The sequence below is a fragment of the Homo sapiens genome, chromosome 7, assembly GCF_000001405.40.
Source record: "Homo sapiens chromosome 7, GRCh38.p14 Primary Assembly".
NCBI classification, from domain to species: domain Eukaryota; kingdom Metazoa; phylum Chordata; class Mammalia; order Primates; family Hominidae; genus Homo; species Homo sapiens.
The window spans coordinates 129,903,314-129,921,052 of NC_000007.14; the positions used below are offsets into that span (position 1 = coordinate 129,903,314).

The 17,739-nt window shown below is 42.0% G+C and overlaps 1 protein-coding gene across 4 annotated transcripts in view, besides 1 other annotated feature; it reads right to left on the minus strand.

Annotated features, from left to right (window-relative positions):
• The window catches only part of UBE2H (ubiquitin conjugating enzyme E2 H), a 122,229-nt gene that overhangs the window by 72,582 nt on the left and 31,908 nt on the right, over positions 1-17,739 (minus strand). The window lies entirely within an intron of this gene.
• Positions 1,080-1,129: an enhancer, noted in NCBI's record as "active region_26636". NCBI's record gives its function as "activates an Ori minimal core promoter by ATAC-STARR-seq in GM12878 lymphoblastoid cells {active_cell/tissue: GM12878}" and the evidence as "EXISTENCE:reporter gene assay evidence [ECO:0000049][PMID:35858748]".

Below are 17,739 nucleotides of genomic sequence, written 5' to 3' on the forward strand. Positions count from 1 at the left end.
TGCAACGACGGTTAATAAGACTATGTGAAAATTCTCAATAAGACACAGAAAACTCTCAATATAGCTTTATTCCAGGCTCCTGAGGGATAGGAATTCAGACAAGAAAAGGAACATCCTAAGAGTGTCTGTAATTGTAGGATATATTTCACATAAAGACTGAAATTCTCGGCCAGGCATAGTGGCTCATGCCTGTAATCCCAACACTTTAGGAGACCCAGGTGGGAGAACCACTTGAGGCCAGGAGTTTGAGACCAGCCTGGGCAACACAGCAAGACGCCATATCTACAAAAATTTTAAAACTATGGCTGCATGTGGTGGCTCACGTCTGTAATCCCAGCACTTTGGGAAGCCAAGGCAGGAGGACTGCTTGAGCCCAGGAGTTTGAGACTAGCCTACGCAACAAAGCAAGACGCCATCTCTATTATTTAAAAAACAAAACAAAACTAGCTGAGCACAGTGTTACACACCTGTTATCCAAGCTACTGAGAAGGCTGAAATGGGAGGATCCCTTGAGCCCAGGAGTTCAAGGCTACAGGTAGCTATGCTGGCATCTGTACTCCAGCCTCGGCAATAGAGTGACACCCTGTCTCTTAAAAAATAATAAGTTCTAGGTTATCTTTCAATCGTTATTTTTTGAGTATTAACATTCCAGAAAAGAATGTGCAAAATTAACATTTAGAATCCCAATTTATAACAGTGCTAGTTCCAAACAAATCTAAAGTATGTGAATCACTCACTGTATCGACAGCTGTCTAATTTCACTCATCCAAGCCCACAATATGCCTGACACGGTCTCAGTCTGCCACATTCTTCCTCTCTTACCTTTCTAGATACACTGGTCTTCTTTCATTTCCTCAAACACAATAAGCTCTCTTCCTCCCCAGGGCCTTTGCAATGGCTATTTCTTCTGCCCAGCCCTGATTTCCCTGTTTTGACAGATAGCTTGCTGATTCTTATCCTTTAAGGTGTGTCTTTTTTTTTTTTAAATAGAGATGGGGATCTCGCTGTGTTGGCGAGGCTGGTCTCAAACTCCTGGCCTTAAGCGATCCTCTTGCCTTGGCCTTCCAAAGTGCTGGGATTAACAGTGTGAGCCACTGCACCAGGCCTTTATGGTGTGTCTAAATGGCACTTCCTTAGAGACCTTTCCGATCACCTGAAGTACATGCCCAACAGACCATCCCAATTATTCTCTACCTCATTCTATTGTCTATTTCCTTGTAGGTTTTATCATGAGTACTATTTTGTCTTTTTATATCCTCCCTCACCTCGAACGAAATTCGACTTCCAAGAGGGCAAGAACCTTATTTGCCTTTATTCCTGACATGTAGCTGAGTGACTAGCCTCGGCTACGTGTCAGTGGATGCTCAACAGAAACTGGTTAAATGAATAGTGTGAGTAGGTGCCAGGCACTACGCTAGACAGTAGGATCTGGAAATAAGAGAGCATCTGCCCTCTGAAAGCTCCAAGTTTAGTGGGGAAATGAACAATCAATAAACTACCAAAGAGGCAGTTAAGAGTGATATGAGGGTTACTCAGCAGTGCTGAAGAGGCACACTGAAGGTGCTCCTGTCCTAATCCAGGAGGTGGGGAAGCCAAAGGTGTTTTCAAGAGGTGGTGATGCTGGCTAAATGCAATGGGAGATTAGCATTTTGCTCTTATATGGCAGCTACAGTGAAGTTTTTTCCAAGGACATGAAGTAAGATGGCCCCTCAGAGTTCAACTCGAGATCAACACACAATGACTGAGGGGAGTACAAGCCATTTGAAAGAGAAAATCTGGTTTTCCACATAGCAAGATTCAAGTACAGCCAGAATCAATGTATTCAGACATGCAAAGGATTAAGGTATCTCATAAAAGGGTCACCCCTGCAAGCTCAGAAGAAGAATGAAAAAGAAAGACTGGCAGGGGCCACTGAAGCAACTAGATAGGGGAGAAAAGGAGTCTTTGTTCATAGACATGAGGTTTCTGGTCACAACAGATCTACGATGAGATGGTGGTATCATCAGATTGTGTCAGACCATTATACATTTGATTCATCTCATTGTTTTTGTTCTAATGCCTTCTCGAATAACCTTCTTTCCAATGATAGTATGGGATCCCAGCTATGTTTACCTATAGAGACCAGAAACACTGGTACACAATTAAAATTATATGCTGGTTTTCCAGTTGTACCTTTCAGACTTATGAGCTTGGTTCATCTGATGCCATGGAAGTAGATCTGCTCTTAGTACACAAATTAGATGCTTGGAAGGCAGGGGAGTCCCCTTCCCAACAAAGGATAAGGTTGGCCAGAACTCAAAACAGAGGAGGAAAAGGATTTTTGTAAGAAATGTTTGAGGTGAACCTCACAGACACAGAAAGAGAAGGAAGAGGGACAAGCCAAGGATGATTCCAATGTTTCTGGCTTGAGTTATCTCAAGTTGAGTTATCCTGGTATTGCTGATGGTAATACCATTCAGCAATCGAGGAATAAGAGAGGGCCTAAGACTTACAGAGAGGCCAGGCACAGCGGCTCACGCCTGCAGTCCCAGCTACTCAGAAGGCCAAAGCAGAAGGATGGTTTGAGCCCAGGAGCCAGGAGTTAGAGGTTACAATGAGCTATGACAGTGCCACTGTACTCCAGCCTGGGCCACTGAGCGAGACACTGTCTCCAAAAAAAAAAGACTTATACAGATGTTCCATTTAGGACATGTTGAATCTGGGGTCTCTGAAAAGCAGCAAAGAGAAGATGTCCAGTAGGCATTTGGCCATCCAAGACCAGAGCTCAAGAGATATGGAATTTTTATTCTAAAAACACATTCAGGCAATAATAGATGAAATCACTCAAGAATAGGGTACTAACTACCAAGAGATAAGGATGAACTGTGAAACCCCGAGTAAAGCCATTTTTTTTTCTTTCTTTTTTTTTTTTTGAGACAGTCTTGCTCTGTTGCCCAGGCTGGAGTGCAGTGGCGCCACCTTGGCTCACTGCAACCTCCACCTCCCGGTTCAAGCGATTCTTGTGCCTCAGCCTCCTGAGTAGCTGGGATTACAGGTGTGTGCCACCACATGCGGCTAATTTTTGTATTTTTAGTAGAGGCAGGGTTTCACCATGTTGGCCAGGCTGGTCTCGAACTCCTGGCCTCATGTGATCCACCCACATCAGCCTCCCAAAGTGCTGGGATTACAGTTGTGAGTCACGCGCCCAGCCCTGAGTAAAGCCAGTATTTAAGAGAAGAGGAACCTACAAGGTATCCTGAGAAACAGATAGGCATCTAGAATTAAGTTAAGTATTTGTTAGGTTATCATTTAATGTCTGCTTTCAACAAGTATGCAATGTCTTACAGAGAAAATTCAAGTTTTAAAAAGAAAAAAAAATTTGCTTATAGTAAAGTTACTGAAAAAGAAAAAGTTCTTTCAGAATACCGTAACATGGCTTCCTGGGACAGGAAGGAAACCAATGAGATACACCCTCCTGACCTCTTACCAGTACTTCAAAAAGTGCAATAAAGCTGGTTGAGAGAAACAAAGAAGTTTCTTTGGAGACCTACTTTAAACGCTTAATCCGTGCCAAAAGTCCAAAGTCCATGAAGCTAACTACCTTTGGATGAATTTTCAAGGCAGAGATAAAATCTCCAATGTGCACTTTAATGACTAATACTAGTTTTGAGAGACATTACTACACATCTATGCTCTGGGACAGACCAAACCTTCAGTCTCTACGTCAATGGTACAACAGAGTACTATTCTCCCCAGTAGTGTTACTGAATTTGCGACTCACTGAGTTGGAAGAGCTGCTTAAAGGTTTATCATCATCAAAAGCCATTTATTAGGGGGTGTTCTTGTTTTTTTTTGAGCAAAGTGCTAAAAACTCCGTTGTACGTTTCCTACCCCATCATAGTTTACAACTTTGTTGGGTAAGATCAAATGACTCCAAAAAACACCTCTGGAATTTCAATACAAGTTGCGATAGTTAAGTGCCAAAACAAGCGGTATGACAGCTGTCGGGATGCAGAAGTAATCAGTAAAGCCTGGATCGTGTAAGAAAATGGGGCTTGAGCCAGACTTTAAGGAAAGGCCAAGCAGTCAAGAAGGAATATGATGTCCAAGGAATATCATAGGCAGGGTACAGCTGACAGCAAAGGCACAGATGCAGCAACTGTGCCTAGAACCAGTTGATCAGTTTTATTGCAATAAGAGGTTCATGTAGCCGGGTTGTGGTAGATAAAAGCAGATAAGTAGACAAAAAGCAAGACGGTAGAGAGCCAGACCACAGCATTTTGTACTTTATCCTATGAACAGTACATAGCCAGTGAAGGTTTTATGCCGAGGTAGATGACGGATGCAAAGCACAATTTTAGGAAAATTAATCTGGCAACTGTGTATAGAAAGGTTAATGGAATATCATCATTGTGACGAGGTATACATGTGTCAAAACTCATCAAATGTATACACTTAAAATTGCTGAATTTTACTGCATATAAATTATACCTCAGGAAGACCAATTTTTTCAAAACAAAGGACAAAGATAAAGACAAGAATAAGCAGATTATTAAAATACAGGCTGGAAAAAAAGTCAGGCTGTAAAATCCTGAATATTTGATAGCTGAGATTAATTCAAGCCAGCTGATTATACACATTTTTTCCCAACTTCAGCAACATAACACTAGTAGCCTGAAACCAGCCATGATAGAGTATTTATACCTCAGAAATCAGCAAACATTACAAATCAGGGCTTTATCCCCCTCCCCAGGGTGGTTGTTCAATATTCACCAGCACACCACTGTGTAATTTCTATACGAGGTTTGGCTTGGATATGGTGCTAAATGAAGAGTTCCTCGACATTTCTTCTCACTCAAAATAATGACATAATTCCGAAGCACCATATCTTAATCTTACCAGCAGTAGACAGTTATCAAAAAAGTGTTAAGATTTAAGAGTCTAACATTTTACTAGTTTCAAGAATTAAAGCATGCCCATGAATAAGAAACCTTTGTGTCTCCCAATCAAGGTTTCTAGCTATTATGTGGTTTGGGACTAACACCAACTGATGATGACAATGCACAAAAAATTCCACCATTCATTCCATTATACTAAAGGCTAATTGCATGGGCCTATTATTGGAATATGCTTTCCTAGTTCAACTAGCTGCATTTCAATAGAGTAAAGAGGGTTTTCTGGAGAAACCCTACTGTGAAAAGATGAACTTTGTCTTAACAACTTTAGTTTCAAAAACTATTCATTTATAGATGCCTATTTCACGTCTCTGAAGCAAAATGGTTCATTTGTTATGTAGATTACTAAGCAGTCAGTCACTTAAGAATAAAAAGTTTCTTCTTTAGAGGCTCCAGCTAACTGTCTGCATAGGTTCAATCTAAAAACCAGCAAAGCATACTGCTAAATATGATAGCAAATAATTGTTTAAACACAAATGAGCACCACCTTCAAATTTTCCAATCCACTTTCCAAGGGCCAATCTATGATTATCCCCAACAAAGACTGCCTGCTCCTGGGTTTCTTACCAGTAAAGGGAAGAAATGGGGGGTCACAAGAGGGGAATAAGGCAGGAGGTATAGAATGATGTTCTCTACTGCAGATCTGACTCCATGAGTCCTTAACTAACAGCCTTAAGTTTTGTTTCAAAAGTTCTTAAGTCCATTGCGTAGAACTCAGAATGTAACTTCCTACACACAAAAGCCAATTTAACTCACTTTTATCTGAAGTACACTATTTAACTCTGGAATATTAGCCATCATCTATACCAATGCTTTTACTAAAAAAAGTAAGTGCATTCAGAGTTTTAATTGAGACACTAAAACCATCATTTGAACCTCATTGCAACTGGAGCCCCTCTCTCTCAGAGAAGGAATACAAAACACAGGAGAAAGATCATAAAGAACTATGTAATATAAGGAGCAGGGAGAAAATGTCAGGTGGGAAAAATGGCCGGAAATGGGAAGAAGAAACATGTACAAGAATCACCAGGAGAGTGACATTCCCCGCCCCACTGATACCTAGAGAGGGGCAGGCAGGGGGTAGGTATTCATCAGACATGCACACTTTGATGAAGCACCCCGTGAATTTCTGACCTACACCTCAAAGAACCACAGCTCCAAGGAGTGAGCTGCAAGGCCATGAAAAACATACAAGGGGACGGTTCAGAGCCCCAGGTTTGCTCACTGAGCATTCTTTCTACCAGACTCCAGTCCAAGGGTCTTTTCCTTTTGCTTCTAATTGCCCTGGAAGAGTAGAAATAAGAACCCTTCAAAAAGAGAAAAATGGGCCGGGAGTGGTGGCTCACGCCTGTAATCTTAGCACTTTGGGAGGCTGAGGTGGGAGGATCACTTGACCCTAGGAGTTCAAGACCTGCCTAGACAACATAATGAGACCCTGTCTGTATTAAAAAATATATAAATGTACATGTGGCCCCACCTCTTTAGTAATAAATATTTACCATTTTCCACTCATTCTTCACAATGCTTAAGCCCAGACGCAATACAAACAGTTCTAGGATCTAGGGACAAAGAGATAAGACACAGAATCTATCTTCTAAGGAGCAGCTTGAAAGAGGTGGGAGTTGGAGCCACAAGCAAACAGCTGATTATATAAAGTGGTCTGAGGGGAAAACAAAGGGGTCAATTAAAGCATACAGAAGACACGAAAAGGGTTGAAAACAAATATAGAGGGGGGGTGATTCAAGGAAGGCTTTGAGTAAGATGCAAGGCTTGAGGTGAATATTGAAGAATAAACAAAAGTTGCCAGGCACGGTGGCTCGCCTATAATCCCAGCACTTTGGGAGGCTGAAGCAGGCATATCACCTGAGGTCGGGAGTTCGAGACCAGTCTGGCCAACATGGCGAAACCCCATCTCTACCAAAAATACAAAAATTAGCCGAGTGTGGTGGCAGGCACCTGTAATCCCAGCTACTCAAGAGGCTGAGGCAGGAGAGTCGCTTGAACCCTGGAGGTGAAGGTTACAGTGAACGGAGATTGCACCACTGCACTCCAGCCTGGACAACAGAGCAAGACTCTATCTCAAAAAAAAAACAAAAACAAAAACAAAAAGGCCAAAAGAGAAAGGGACTCTGTAGAAGAGTTAGGAAGTGTCCCTTGAGAAGGCTAGGGGAGGGGAGAGGCATACAGCACAGCATTGTATCTTTGACCGATGGTAGGAAGGCACTACTTCTCTATCAAACTGACTTTTAAACCAAGACTCCATCAAACCGATTTTTATACCAAGGTTAGGCTTTAAACCATGGGTGCTAAAGAGCAACTAAGGAGTTTTAGGCAAGAAGTAGCATAATCAGATGTACAAAAAACAGTATCATGCCTGTAATCCCAGCACTTTGGAAGGCCGAGGAAGGCTGATTGTCTGAGGTCTGGAGTTCAAGACCAGCCTGGACAACACGGTGAAACCCCGTCTCTACTAAAAATACAAAAATTAGCCAGGTGTGGTGGTGGGCACCTATAATCCCAGCTACTCGGAAGGCTGAGGCAGGAGAATCACTTGAACCCGGGAAGCGGAGGTTGCAGTGAGCAGAGAGCACACCACCGTACTCCAGCCTGGGTGACAGAGTAAGATTCCATCTCAAAAAACAAAAACAAAAACAAAACAGGATCACTCTGGCAGCCAAGATGAAAGGCAGACTGGAAGGAGACAGACTAGATGCAGGGAGCCCTGAAGTTGTGAGATTATCTCCAACAGTCCAGGTAAGGTCCCGAGGCCCTGAATCAAACAGTGGTGGTCGCAATGGAGGGCAGGGTTGGGGGAGAGAATAAAGAGGCAGAACAGGTCAGGCATGGTGACTCATGCCTGTAATCCCAGCACTTTGGGAGGCCAAGGCGCGCAGATCACAGGGTCAGGAAAATGAGACCATCCTGGCTAACACGGTGGAACCCTGTCTCTACTAAAAATACAAAAAAAAAGTTAGCCAGGCATGGTGGCACACACCTGTAGTCCCAGCTACTCAGGAGGCTGAGGCAGGAGAATTGCTTGAACCTGGGAGGTGGAGGTTCCAGTGAGCTGAGATCACACCATTGCACCACTCCAGCCTGGGTGACAGAGTGAGACTCCGTCTCAATTAAAAAAAAAAAAAAATGAGGACAGAACAAACAGGATGAGGGAGGTTGTTAAGACACACAGGTTTCCCACTTCGGCAATAGGTAAGTAAACAAAAAAACAGATTGTAGTAAGAGTTTGGAAGAAATAGTACTGACATCAGTATTGGACATGCAAGGTTTTAGGGGCCTGTTGGGATCGTCTTGGAGAGATATTTGGAAGGCAGGCACCTACACTAACCTAGAGTTTAGGAAACAACAACTCAACTAAAAATGCACATATATGTTTTTTTTAATTATTTTTTAGAGACAGGGTCTCACTCTGTTGCCCAGGCTGGAAGGCAGTGGCATCATCATAGCTCACTGTAACCTTGAACTCCTGGGTTCAAGTGATCCTCCTGCCTCAGCCTCCCGAGTAGCTATGGGACTACAGGTGTGTGCCACCATGCCTGGCTAATTCTTAAATTTTTCTTTGTAGGGACGATGTCTTGATATGTTGCCCAGGCTAATCTCAAACTCCTGGCCTCAAGCAGTCCTTCTGCCTCGGCTTCCCAAAGTGCTGGGATTACAGACATGAGCCACCATACCGGGTCTATGAATCATTTTATAGCAAAGGATGTGTTATGTGAAAAGATGACTGAGAATGAAGCCTAAGGGAAAAACAACCTTTAATACATGTACACAGAGAGATGCAGGACCAAGGTAGGCCTTTATTATGAGATAGAATTTAAAATGTTCCTTCAGTTTAGGGGTCCACGAACTAGGGCCCACCCCCTGTTTTTGTAAATAAAGTTTTACTGGAACACGCCATGCCCATCCATTTACGTATTATTGATGGCTGCTTCTGTGCTGCAACAGCAGAGTTGAATAGTTGCAAAAAAGACCATACAGCCCACAAAGCCTAAAATATTTACTACAGGCTGAGTATTCTTTATCTGAAATGCATGGGACCAGAAATGTTTTGGATTTATTTGCATATACATAATGACATATCTTGGCGATGAGACTCAAGTCTAAACATGAAATTCATTTACATTTCTTTCTTTTTAAAGAGATGGGGTCTCATAATGCTGTCCAGGCTGGTCTCAAACTCCTGGGCTTGGCGATCCTCCCACCTCAGCCTCCCAAAGTGCTGGGATTACATCATGAGCCACCACACTGGGCTCATTTATGTTTCATATACATCTTATACACATAGTCTGAAGGTAATTTTAAACAATATTTTAAATAATTCTGTACATGAAACAAAGTTTGTGTTAAGTATTTATGTGTGGAATTTTCCACTTGTGTTACGTAGGTGCTCAAAAAGTTTTGAATTTTGGAGCATTTTAGATTTTGGATTTTCAGATAAGGGATGCACAACCTGTTTTTGGCCCTTATAAAGCCCGCTCACTCATACTTTACTCAACGGCCTTTAGGCAAAGCCTATCCCTATTTCCTACCTCAGTTTTTCCATTTGAGAAATGAAATGTACACTATGTTCAAGTTCAACAAGAACTTAAAAGGCTCATTTTTAATAATTAATCACTAAAAATTTTCCTCAAATATTTTGTTCAACACAACCAAGTACATTTCCAATAAAAGTCAAGGTTTCAAAGAATATAAAAATGTACAACATTGGGCCAGGTGCGGTGGTCACGCCTGTAATCCCAGCACTTTCGGAGGCCAAGGCGGGTGGGTCGCCTGAGGTCAGGAGTTCGAGACCAGCCTGGCCAACATAGTGAAACCTCGTCTCTACTAAAAATACAAAAAATTAGCTGGGCACGGTGGCGGGTGCCTGTAATCCCAGCTACTCGGGAGGCTGAGGCAGGAGAATGGCTTGAACCCCGGAGGCAGAGGCTGCAGTGAGCCGAGATCATGCCACTGCACTCCAGCCTGGGCAGCAAGAGCGAAACTCCGTCTCAAAAAAAAAAAAAAAAAAAGAGTACAGCACAGAATTTGACTATATAGGATTTAAATTACAAGGCAATTTATTGACTTACATGTGCCTACAAAATAAAGGGAATCCCAAATTTTACTTTATATCCAATTCAGAGCATTAACACAACAGTCTACTCCAGAAAGCATTCACCTTGACCTGTTACAAAAGGTCCTGATCTTTTGTAATAGAAGAGAAGAGCCACACAGCAGAGAAGTTATTGCTATCTCCACCACCACTGCCATCATTTTCTGAACACCCGCCATGTCTAGATGCCATTCCAAGCATCTAAGGCCTGTATGTTTCATTCGAGCCCCTCAATAACTCATGAGGACATCCATCCATTTTACAGATGAGGAAACTGAGCCTCAGAAGGGTAAAGAGCCTTTAACTGGGTGCAGTGGCATGCATCTGTAGTCCCAGTTACTCCAGAGGCTGAGGCACAAGGATTGCTTGAGCCCAGGAATTGGAGGCTGCAGTGAGCTATGATTACGCCACTGTACTCCAGCCTGAGCAAGAGCCAGACCCTGTCTCTCAAGGGGAGAAAATGGTTAAGAGCCTTGCCTCAAGTCATCTAGTAGGGAGCGGGTGACAGAACCAAGTCTGACCTCAGAGGCTCTGTACTTAACTACGACCCCATACTTTTGTTACCGACATGGAAGGAGATAACACTTATAAAAGAACAAATGGAATCTGGACACTAGGAAACACATATCTGCTTGTCTTCCCCACTTGGAACTCAATGCATATCTTGGAAGCCAGATTGGTGTCAGCAGCTTAAGAAGGTAACATGTATTGACTGTACCAATGGGCTCTGGCCAGACAGCCTCAGAACCACAACCAGGTGCAACATAGCTGCCAGCAGACAACGTATCAAGTTCCCAACAGCCACCTCAAAAATCAATTTTTTTTTTTTTTGAGACAGAGTCTTGCTCTGTTGCCCAGGCTGGAGTGCAGAGGTGCAATTTTGGCTCACTGCAACCTCCGCCTCCCAGGTTCAAGCGATTCTCCTGCCTCAGCCTCCTCAGTAGCTGGGACTACAGGAGCGCCCCACCATGCCTGGCTAACTTTTGTATTTTAGTAGAGATGGGGTTTTGCCATGTTGGCCAGGGTGGTCTCAAACTCCTGACCTCAAGTGACCCACACACCTTGGCCTCCCGAAGTGCTGGGATTACAGGCGTGAGCCACCATGCCCGACCAAAAATCAACCTTTTAAACAACTCCCCTCCAGAAACAGAGGGAAGCCGACACAAGAAATAAAAAGACCTTTGTAAATCAGATATTACAGTAATGTACTCTAAGAGGTCATATGATACACTCAGTGGCAAGAACATAAGCTTTCACTTCAAACCGACCCAGGTTTGAGTTCTGGTTTCAACACAAGGCTTATGACAGTAAATTACTTATCTTCTCTGAGCCCACTCCCTTGATGAAATAAAGAACCACACTCTCTGCCAGACAGTCCAGGGAATTATCAGTACCATAATAGAGAATTTAGTTGTTCAGAGTCAAAGCTCCCGAGTTATACAGACTGAGCTTATCTCTCAGCTCTGCAACTTACTTGGCATGAGATAGGGGCCTAAGGTTTCATCTTTAAAACAGAAAAAAAGAAAACAGTACCTACCTCTTGAGTTATTCTGAGGACTGAGGAAGATATTTAAAGTGCTAAAAAACACAATGTCCGGCCCAGGATGCGCTCAAATGTCAGCTGTTACTACTATGATTAATGTGTCTGGCACACAGTAAGCACTCTAAGAGGCTTTTCATTAGTGTAAGTTATAGACCAAATGACAACTTCCAACTTCAAGACCTGATCTTTAGGGGAAACAATGTCTTTCCCCGAGGCTGTGAAATTAACTTTCACAGCTTTAAAGGAGTGGCAGAAGCACATTTCCTGCAACAAAAACCACGGGCTTGGCTCCCTCTTGTTAAATGGTAGGAAGGTTTCTTCACCTGCTTCTTCACACTTTATTTAAATACTAAATACAGCCGGGCGCGGTGTCTCACACCTGTAATCCCAGCACTTTGAGAGGTTGAGACGGGCAGATCACGAGGTCAGGAGATCGAGACCATCCTGGCTAACACAGTGGAACCCCGTCCACTAAAAATACAAAAAATTAGCCGGGTGTGGTGGCGGGCACCTGTAGTCCCAGCTACTTGGGAGGCTGAGGCAGGAGAATGGCATGAACCTGGGAGGCGGAGTTTGCAGTGAGCCGAGATTGCGCCACTGCACTCCAGCCTGGGTGACAGAGCGAGACTCTGTCTCAAAAAAATAAATAAATACTAAATACTACTACTGGTACTTTCAGGCAGGCAACACCCTTAACCTCTAAACAGAACGAACTATTTTCCCCACATATGGTTTTCAGAGCACTAGGAAGAAACACTGAAACAGAAAGGCATCTGTTTAGAAGCAGAACTTTAACTCCTTGTAAAACAGCCTGCCCGTACCTGTGGCCAAAGCAAAAGCAAACGGGCTAAGTGGCCCAGACCCTCCTAACTCTGCCTGTCTTTCAAGAGAACTCCTACCATCCCCAGCATGCAGTTGCTTTTGAGCTCCCTTTGTATCTCAAAATCCATAAAAATGTTGAGTACCACAGATCGTTCTTTCAATCATCAGTTCAGAATACAGAAACAGACCAAAGGCAATGCAAAGACAATCTATAATTTAAAAATTCCTTGACCTCTATCTGCCTCGTAAGTCCATCTAGCTAAAATGTACATTTCATATAAAGTTCAATTATTAAAAAGCCAGAAAAAATCCATAAAACCCTCTGAATCTTAGAAAGCTCTCTCAGATGCATTTTAAATTTTCAAATAGCTCACATGCCTGCACTTGTTAACTTTTCGTCAAATGACTTCAGCTTTTTTTATATAGGCAGGTAATTATATTCATTCCAGGACTTTAACATCCTAAACACAAAGTTTAACCGGCATTATAACCAGCTTAACAGAAAAATCCTCTTCCATTAAACAGATCCGATTCAAGGGGTATCTAAGAAAAACAGGAAAACAGTTTCCAGATACAGCACTGGCTTTTATCCACCACAGAAATCAACAACTCAGCTTCTACAAACTTTAACAAGTTTGCTTTAAATTTCTAAGCCATTTGAAATAGAATATGCACAAGTGGTTAATGATCTTGTATTTTCTTCCCACTTAAAAAAAAAAAAAGAAGCCATTTATCACACTCAAGTTCTAACAATTAAAAAAAAAAAAAAAAGCCTACCAAAAATCAAATCCCAAACCACAGCCATCCTCTCCAGAACTTTGCAACAGTCTAGTTCACATCTACAAGCCTTACTTTTGTTTGGAAAGCTAGGGGGAAGGAAAGCAGCCTGTTTTAGATTTCATTTCTAGGGAAATAGAAATAGACGCAAAGCCTCAAGGTTACACAGTACACACAGAGAACATCCTGTCCACTAGCCTAAACACACTCTAAGCATGTACACGGCTAATGGCCAAACCACCTGCAAAAGTTCCATTTGCGGCTGGGAGCGGTGGCTCACACCTGTAATTCCAGCACTTTGGGAGGCCAAGAAGGGGGATCAAGAGGTTAAGAGATCAAGACCATCCTGGCTAACACGGTGAAACCCCATCTCTACCAAAAATACAAAAAATTAGCCAGGAGTGGTGGCGGGCGCCTGTAGTCCCAGCTACTCTGGAGGCTGAGGCAGGAGAATGGCGTGAACCTGGGAGGCGGAGCTTGCAGTGAGCCGAGATCACACCACTGCACTTCAGCCTGGGCGACACAGCAAGATTCCGTCTCCAAAAAAAAAAAAAAAAACACAGCTGGGCATGGTGGCAGGTGCCTGTAGTCCCAGCTACTGGCAGGAGAATTGCTTGAACCTGGGAGGTGGAAGTTGCAGTGAGCCGAGATCGTGCCACTGCACTCCGGCCTGGCAACAAAGCGAGACTCCGTCTCAAACAAACAAACAAAAAGTTCCATTTGCTGGGTCTCACATGTTGCCTACAAATTCGAGATTATGCTGTTTTTCATTTTATTTTAGAACAGTCACCTTGTATCCAACTGATCCAGCCCACTTTTACTGCCAAGGTGTTAACATGCATTACATTTGCTGAAGACAGAAAGAAAATGAAATAGTCCCAGCCCCTACCCTGAGGACACACCCTCACATCCCTACTCCTTCTCCATCAGCTAAACTGTGTGTGTGCAGATGTGTGTGTGCCTGCTGGAGTCTGGGGTGCAGGGAGGTTGGTGGTAACAAAAGACCATGAGGCTGAGACAATCAACTAGCCAGGGTTTTCTGAGAAGAAAGGGCACAGGCAGGGACACTGGGCAATACATGCTTCTGTCTAGTTCTTTTCATCTCAAGCATGGTTCACGCAGTAAAAGGTCTCCCTGGACTAAATCCTGAACTAATAAAAAGCCTTTATTTTAGAGAGAGCAGGGAAGTATGTAATTGTTAAATATCAAGGAGCTAGGAAACACAATTAAAACTTTGAACTGGGAGGTGAAAAGGAGGGGTAAAAAAACAACAACTTTGAACTGTAAGGTTTAAAAAAGTTAACCTACCTGCATAGGATTCTCCTAAATTAAAAATAGGATCTACACAATGCTCAGTGTTGCCCCTGCATCTCAATGAACATACCAACATACCTTTGAATACGCTCCTTAACACTAGCACAAGTGTGAGACTTCTCACCAAAAGCTAGTATCAAGTATGCACACGCGAATAAGTGCTTACTATTCCATGCTATGGTTCACATCTATTCTTTTAAGGCACTGAGAATTTCAAAACACGACTCTCTGTAATTTGCTCTCCAAAAACTGCTTTTATTAGACACTGGCAGGCCTCAAACTTTCATGTCTTAAAGCAAGACAAATGCTCCTATTAAAAAGGGACTGGCAGCCCAGGAATGCCAAAAGCTGCAAGAAGTCCAAAGCAATCTCTCATATCATCACCTTTATATATACATGCACGCACATACAGTTGATTAACAGGAGGCACTCCAGCTTTCTAAAGGAAGTTCTTTTAACTATATCCATACTTGCTACATACAATGTAGCAAGAGTAAGAGATAAAGACTGAAAGTATCCTCATGAAAGACATTGTCCAAAAAATCCAAATTCTTTTTTTTTTTTTTTTGAGACAGTCTTGCTCTGTCACCCAGGATGGAGTGCAGCAACACAATCAAGACTCACTGCAACCTCTGCCTCCTGGGTTCAAATGATTCTCATGCTCAACCTCCTGAGTAGCTGGGATTACAGGCATGTGCCACCACACCCAGCTAATTTTTGTATTTTTATTAAAATAGAGACAGGGTTTTGCCATGTTGGTCAGGCTCAAGTGCCCGGCCCCAAAATCCAAATTCTTAAAATTACCAACCTGTACAAAGCTATACCTATTCATATTTGACAATAAAAAACACCTGTGAAGACCATTTGTTGTCCCACTGAAAACTAAGGAGCATGGGCTGGATGCTTGAGGCCAGGAGCTCACAACCAGCCTATACAATGTAGACCCTTTCTCTATGTATATGTTTAACATGTAAGAAAGAAAAGAAAGAAGGCTGTGCACTGTGGTTCTTGCCTGTGATCCCAGCACTTTGGGAGGTTGAGGCAGGTAGATCACTTGAGCCCGGGAGTTTGAAATCAGCCTGGGCAACATGGTGAAACCCCATCTCTACAAAAAAATACAAAATTTAGCCAGGTGTGGTAGTATACGCCTATAGTACCAGCTACTGAGGTGGCTGAGGTAGAAGGATCACTTGAGCCCGAGAGGTCGAGGCTGCAGTGAGCTATGATTGTGTCACTGCACTCAAGCCTGGGTAACTGAGCAAGACCTTGTCTCAAAAACAAAAACAAAGTAAAAAAAAAAAAAAAAAAAAAGCACCAAAAAACAAGGCACATGGATGAAAGGAAATGTGTCATATGCTAGGAAAGAATAGAAAATGACCAACTCTAGTTCAAAGGAAATATAATAATTTCTATTATCTACCTGTTTCAAAAAGACTATAGTAAACAGCTAAGCTAATGCGTTTGAAACTGAAATTAAGACAAAAACTTGATTGACCATCACGTTTAATACCAGAATCCATTCCTAGACTTGTAAAAACAAAATAAAACTCCTGTTAACACCCTACTTAAAACCTTCAATGAGTCTGGTGCCGGCAGCATACAACTCCACCTGCCTCCATATCTGCAGGCTCTCCTCTGCTTATTCCTTGGCCTCACCAATCCTGGGACTCTACAGTCATGAACACTCATTAAGTTTCTTGAATAATGTGGTTTTACAGCTCTATGCCTTTGCCTCCCCTCCACCCGGAATGCCCCTCAACTCCACAGCTCTCTGAAAATGCCCACTCATCTTTCAAGACCAAGGTCAAACTTCATCTCTTGGAACAGCCCCATTTCCCTAGGCAGGCTGCACATTGCACCCCGTTGTGTGTCCCTTTGCCACTCACTGGGAGACAAAGTTCATCTCTCTCCTAGAATGCAAGCTCCCTAGAATAGGAAAGCCATGTCTCACCTCTCTTGTTACCATCTTTACTGCTTTGCACAGGGTCTGACAGAAAGAAGGCACCAAAAATATTTGACTAGAAAATAAACTGAGAAAACACTGGGATACCATTTCACATCCATCAGATAGGCAAAATGTTAGAAAGCTGGATAAATGATGGTGTGGATATGAATAAACAGGAACTCTCATATGTTGCTGATGGGAATGTGAGTTTGGTAAAATTACTTTGAAGAGTGATATTTTTCATCTCTCGCCAAGCTGAAAATGAGCACTGTCAAAGCAGCAATTCTGCTTCAGGTTACATACATTAGACTATTATTTGTCAAATATTGTCCTGATCAGCTTATTTTTAAATGAAGGGATATTTATTCATATCTCAAGTATGCATCTCTCACATTGTATGCGTAAATATTTTTTCAGGGTAAATATTTTATAAAACTATAATTTCTATTACATGTAAATATTTATGCATATATATATGAACATTATGCAAATAAACACACACATATTTTGGGTATCAATGTAAAATACATTTCTTACTGTGTCTAGTGAACAAAAAAGGCTTGAAAAACACTATCCCAGAAAAACACATATGTGCTCAAAAAGACACTCATAAATGTTAATTATGACACTGTATATAACGGTGAAAAACTGGAAATAACCTAAATGTGCATTAACAAAATGGAAAAAATATGGTACACATATAACTCAATATAAATGAACTGGAAACAAATGAAGTAAAGCTACTAGAATACTTCTAATAATATCAATAAATCTTAAAAGTAATATTGAATCAAAATGTATATTTATATAAACATACAAAATACTACATACATACATATATGAGAAAATAAACATGAATGGTATGATGACAATTCAAGAAGACAGGGAGGGAAGCGGAATCAGGAAAGACATCACAGGAGGCTTTAGTGTAACTTCAGGTGTTATTACCTCAAAAAAAAGTTCTGAAGACAATGTTAAAATCTGACAACTGGGAAATGGATGCTGTTCATTATTTTATTCCACATATTTGTTGTGGTGCTTAAAATATTTTGTCATTGAAAACAATGTAATAAACAAATGACTAGAAAAAGTCAAAAAAAAAAAAAAAAAAAAAAGCAATCTTTAAAATGTCCTGGTGTTGGCCGGGCACAGTGGCTCACTGTTTAGGTGGTCAAAGTGGGAGGATCACTTGAGGCCAGGAGTTTGAGAACAACCTGGACAACCTATCAAGACTCTCTGCCTCTAAAAAAAAAAAGTCCTGGTGTTTATAGTTCCAAATCAATATATATTACACGTG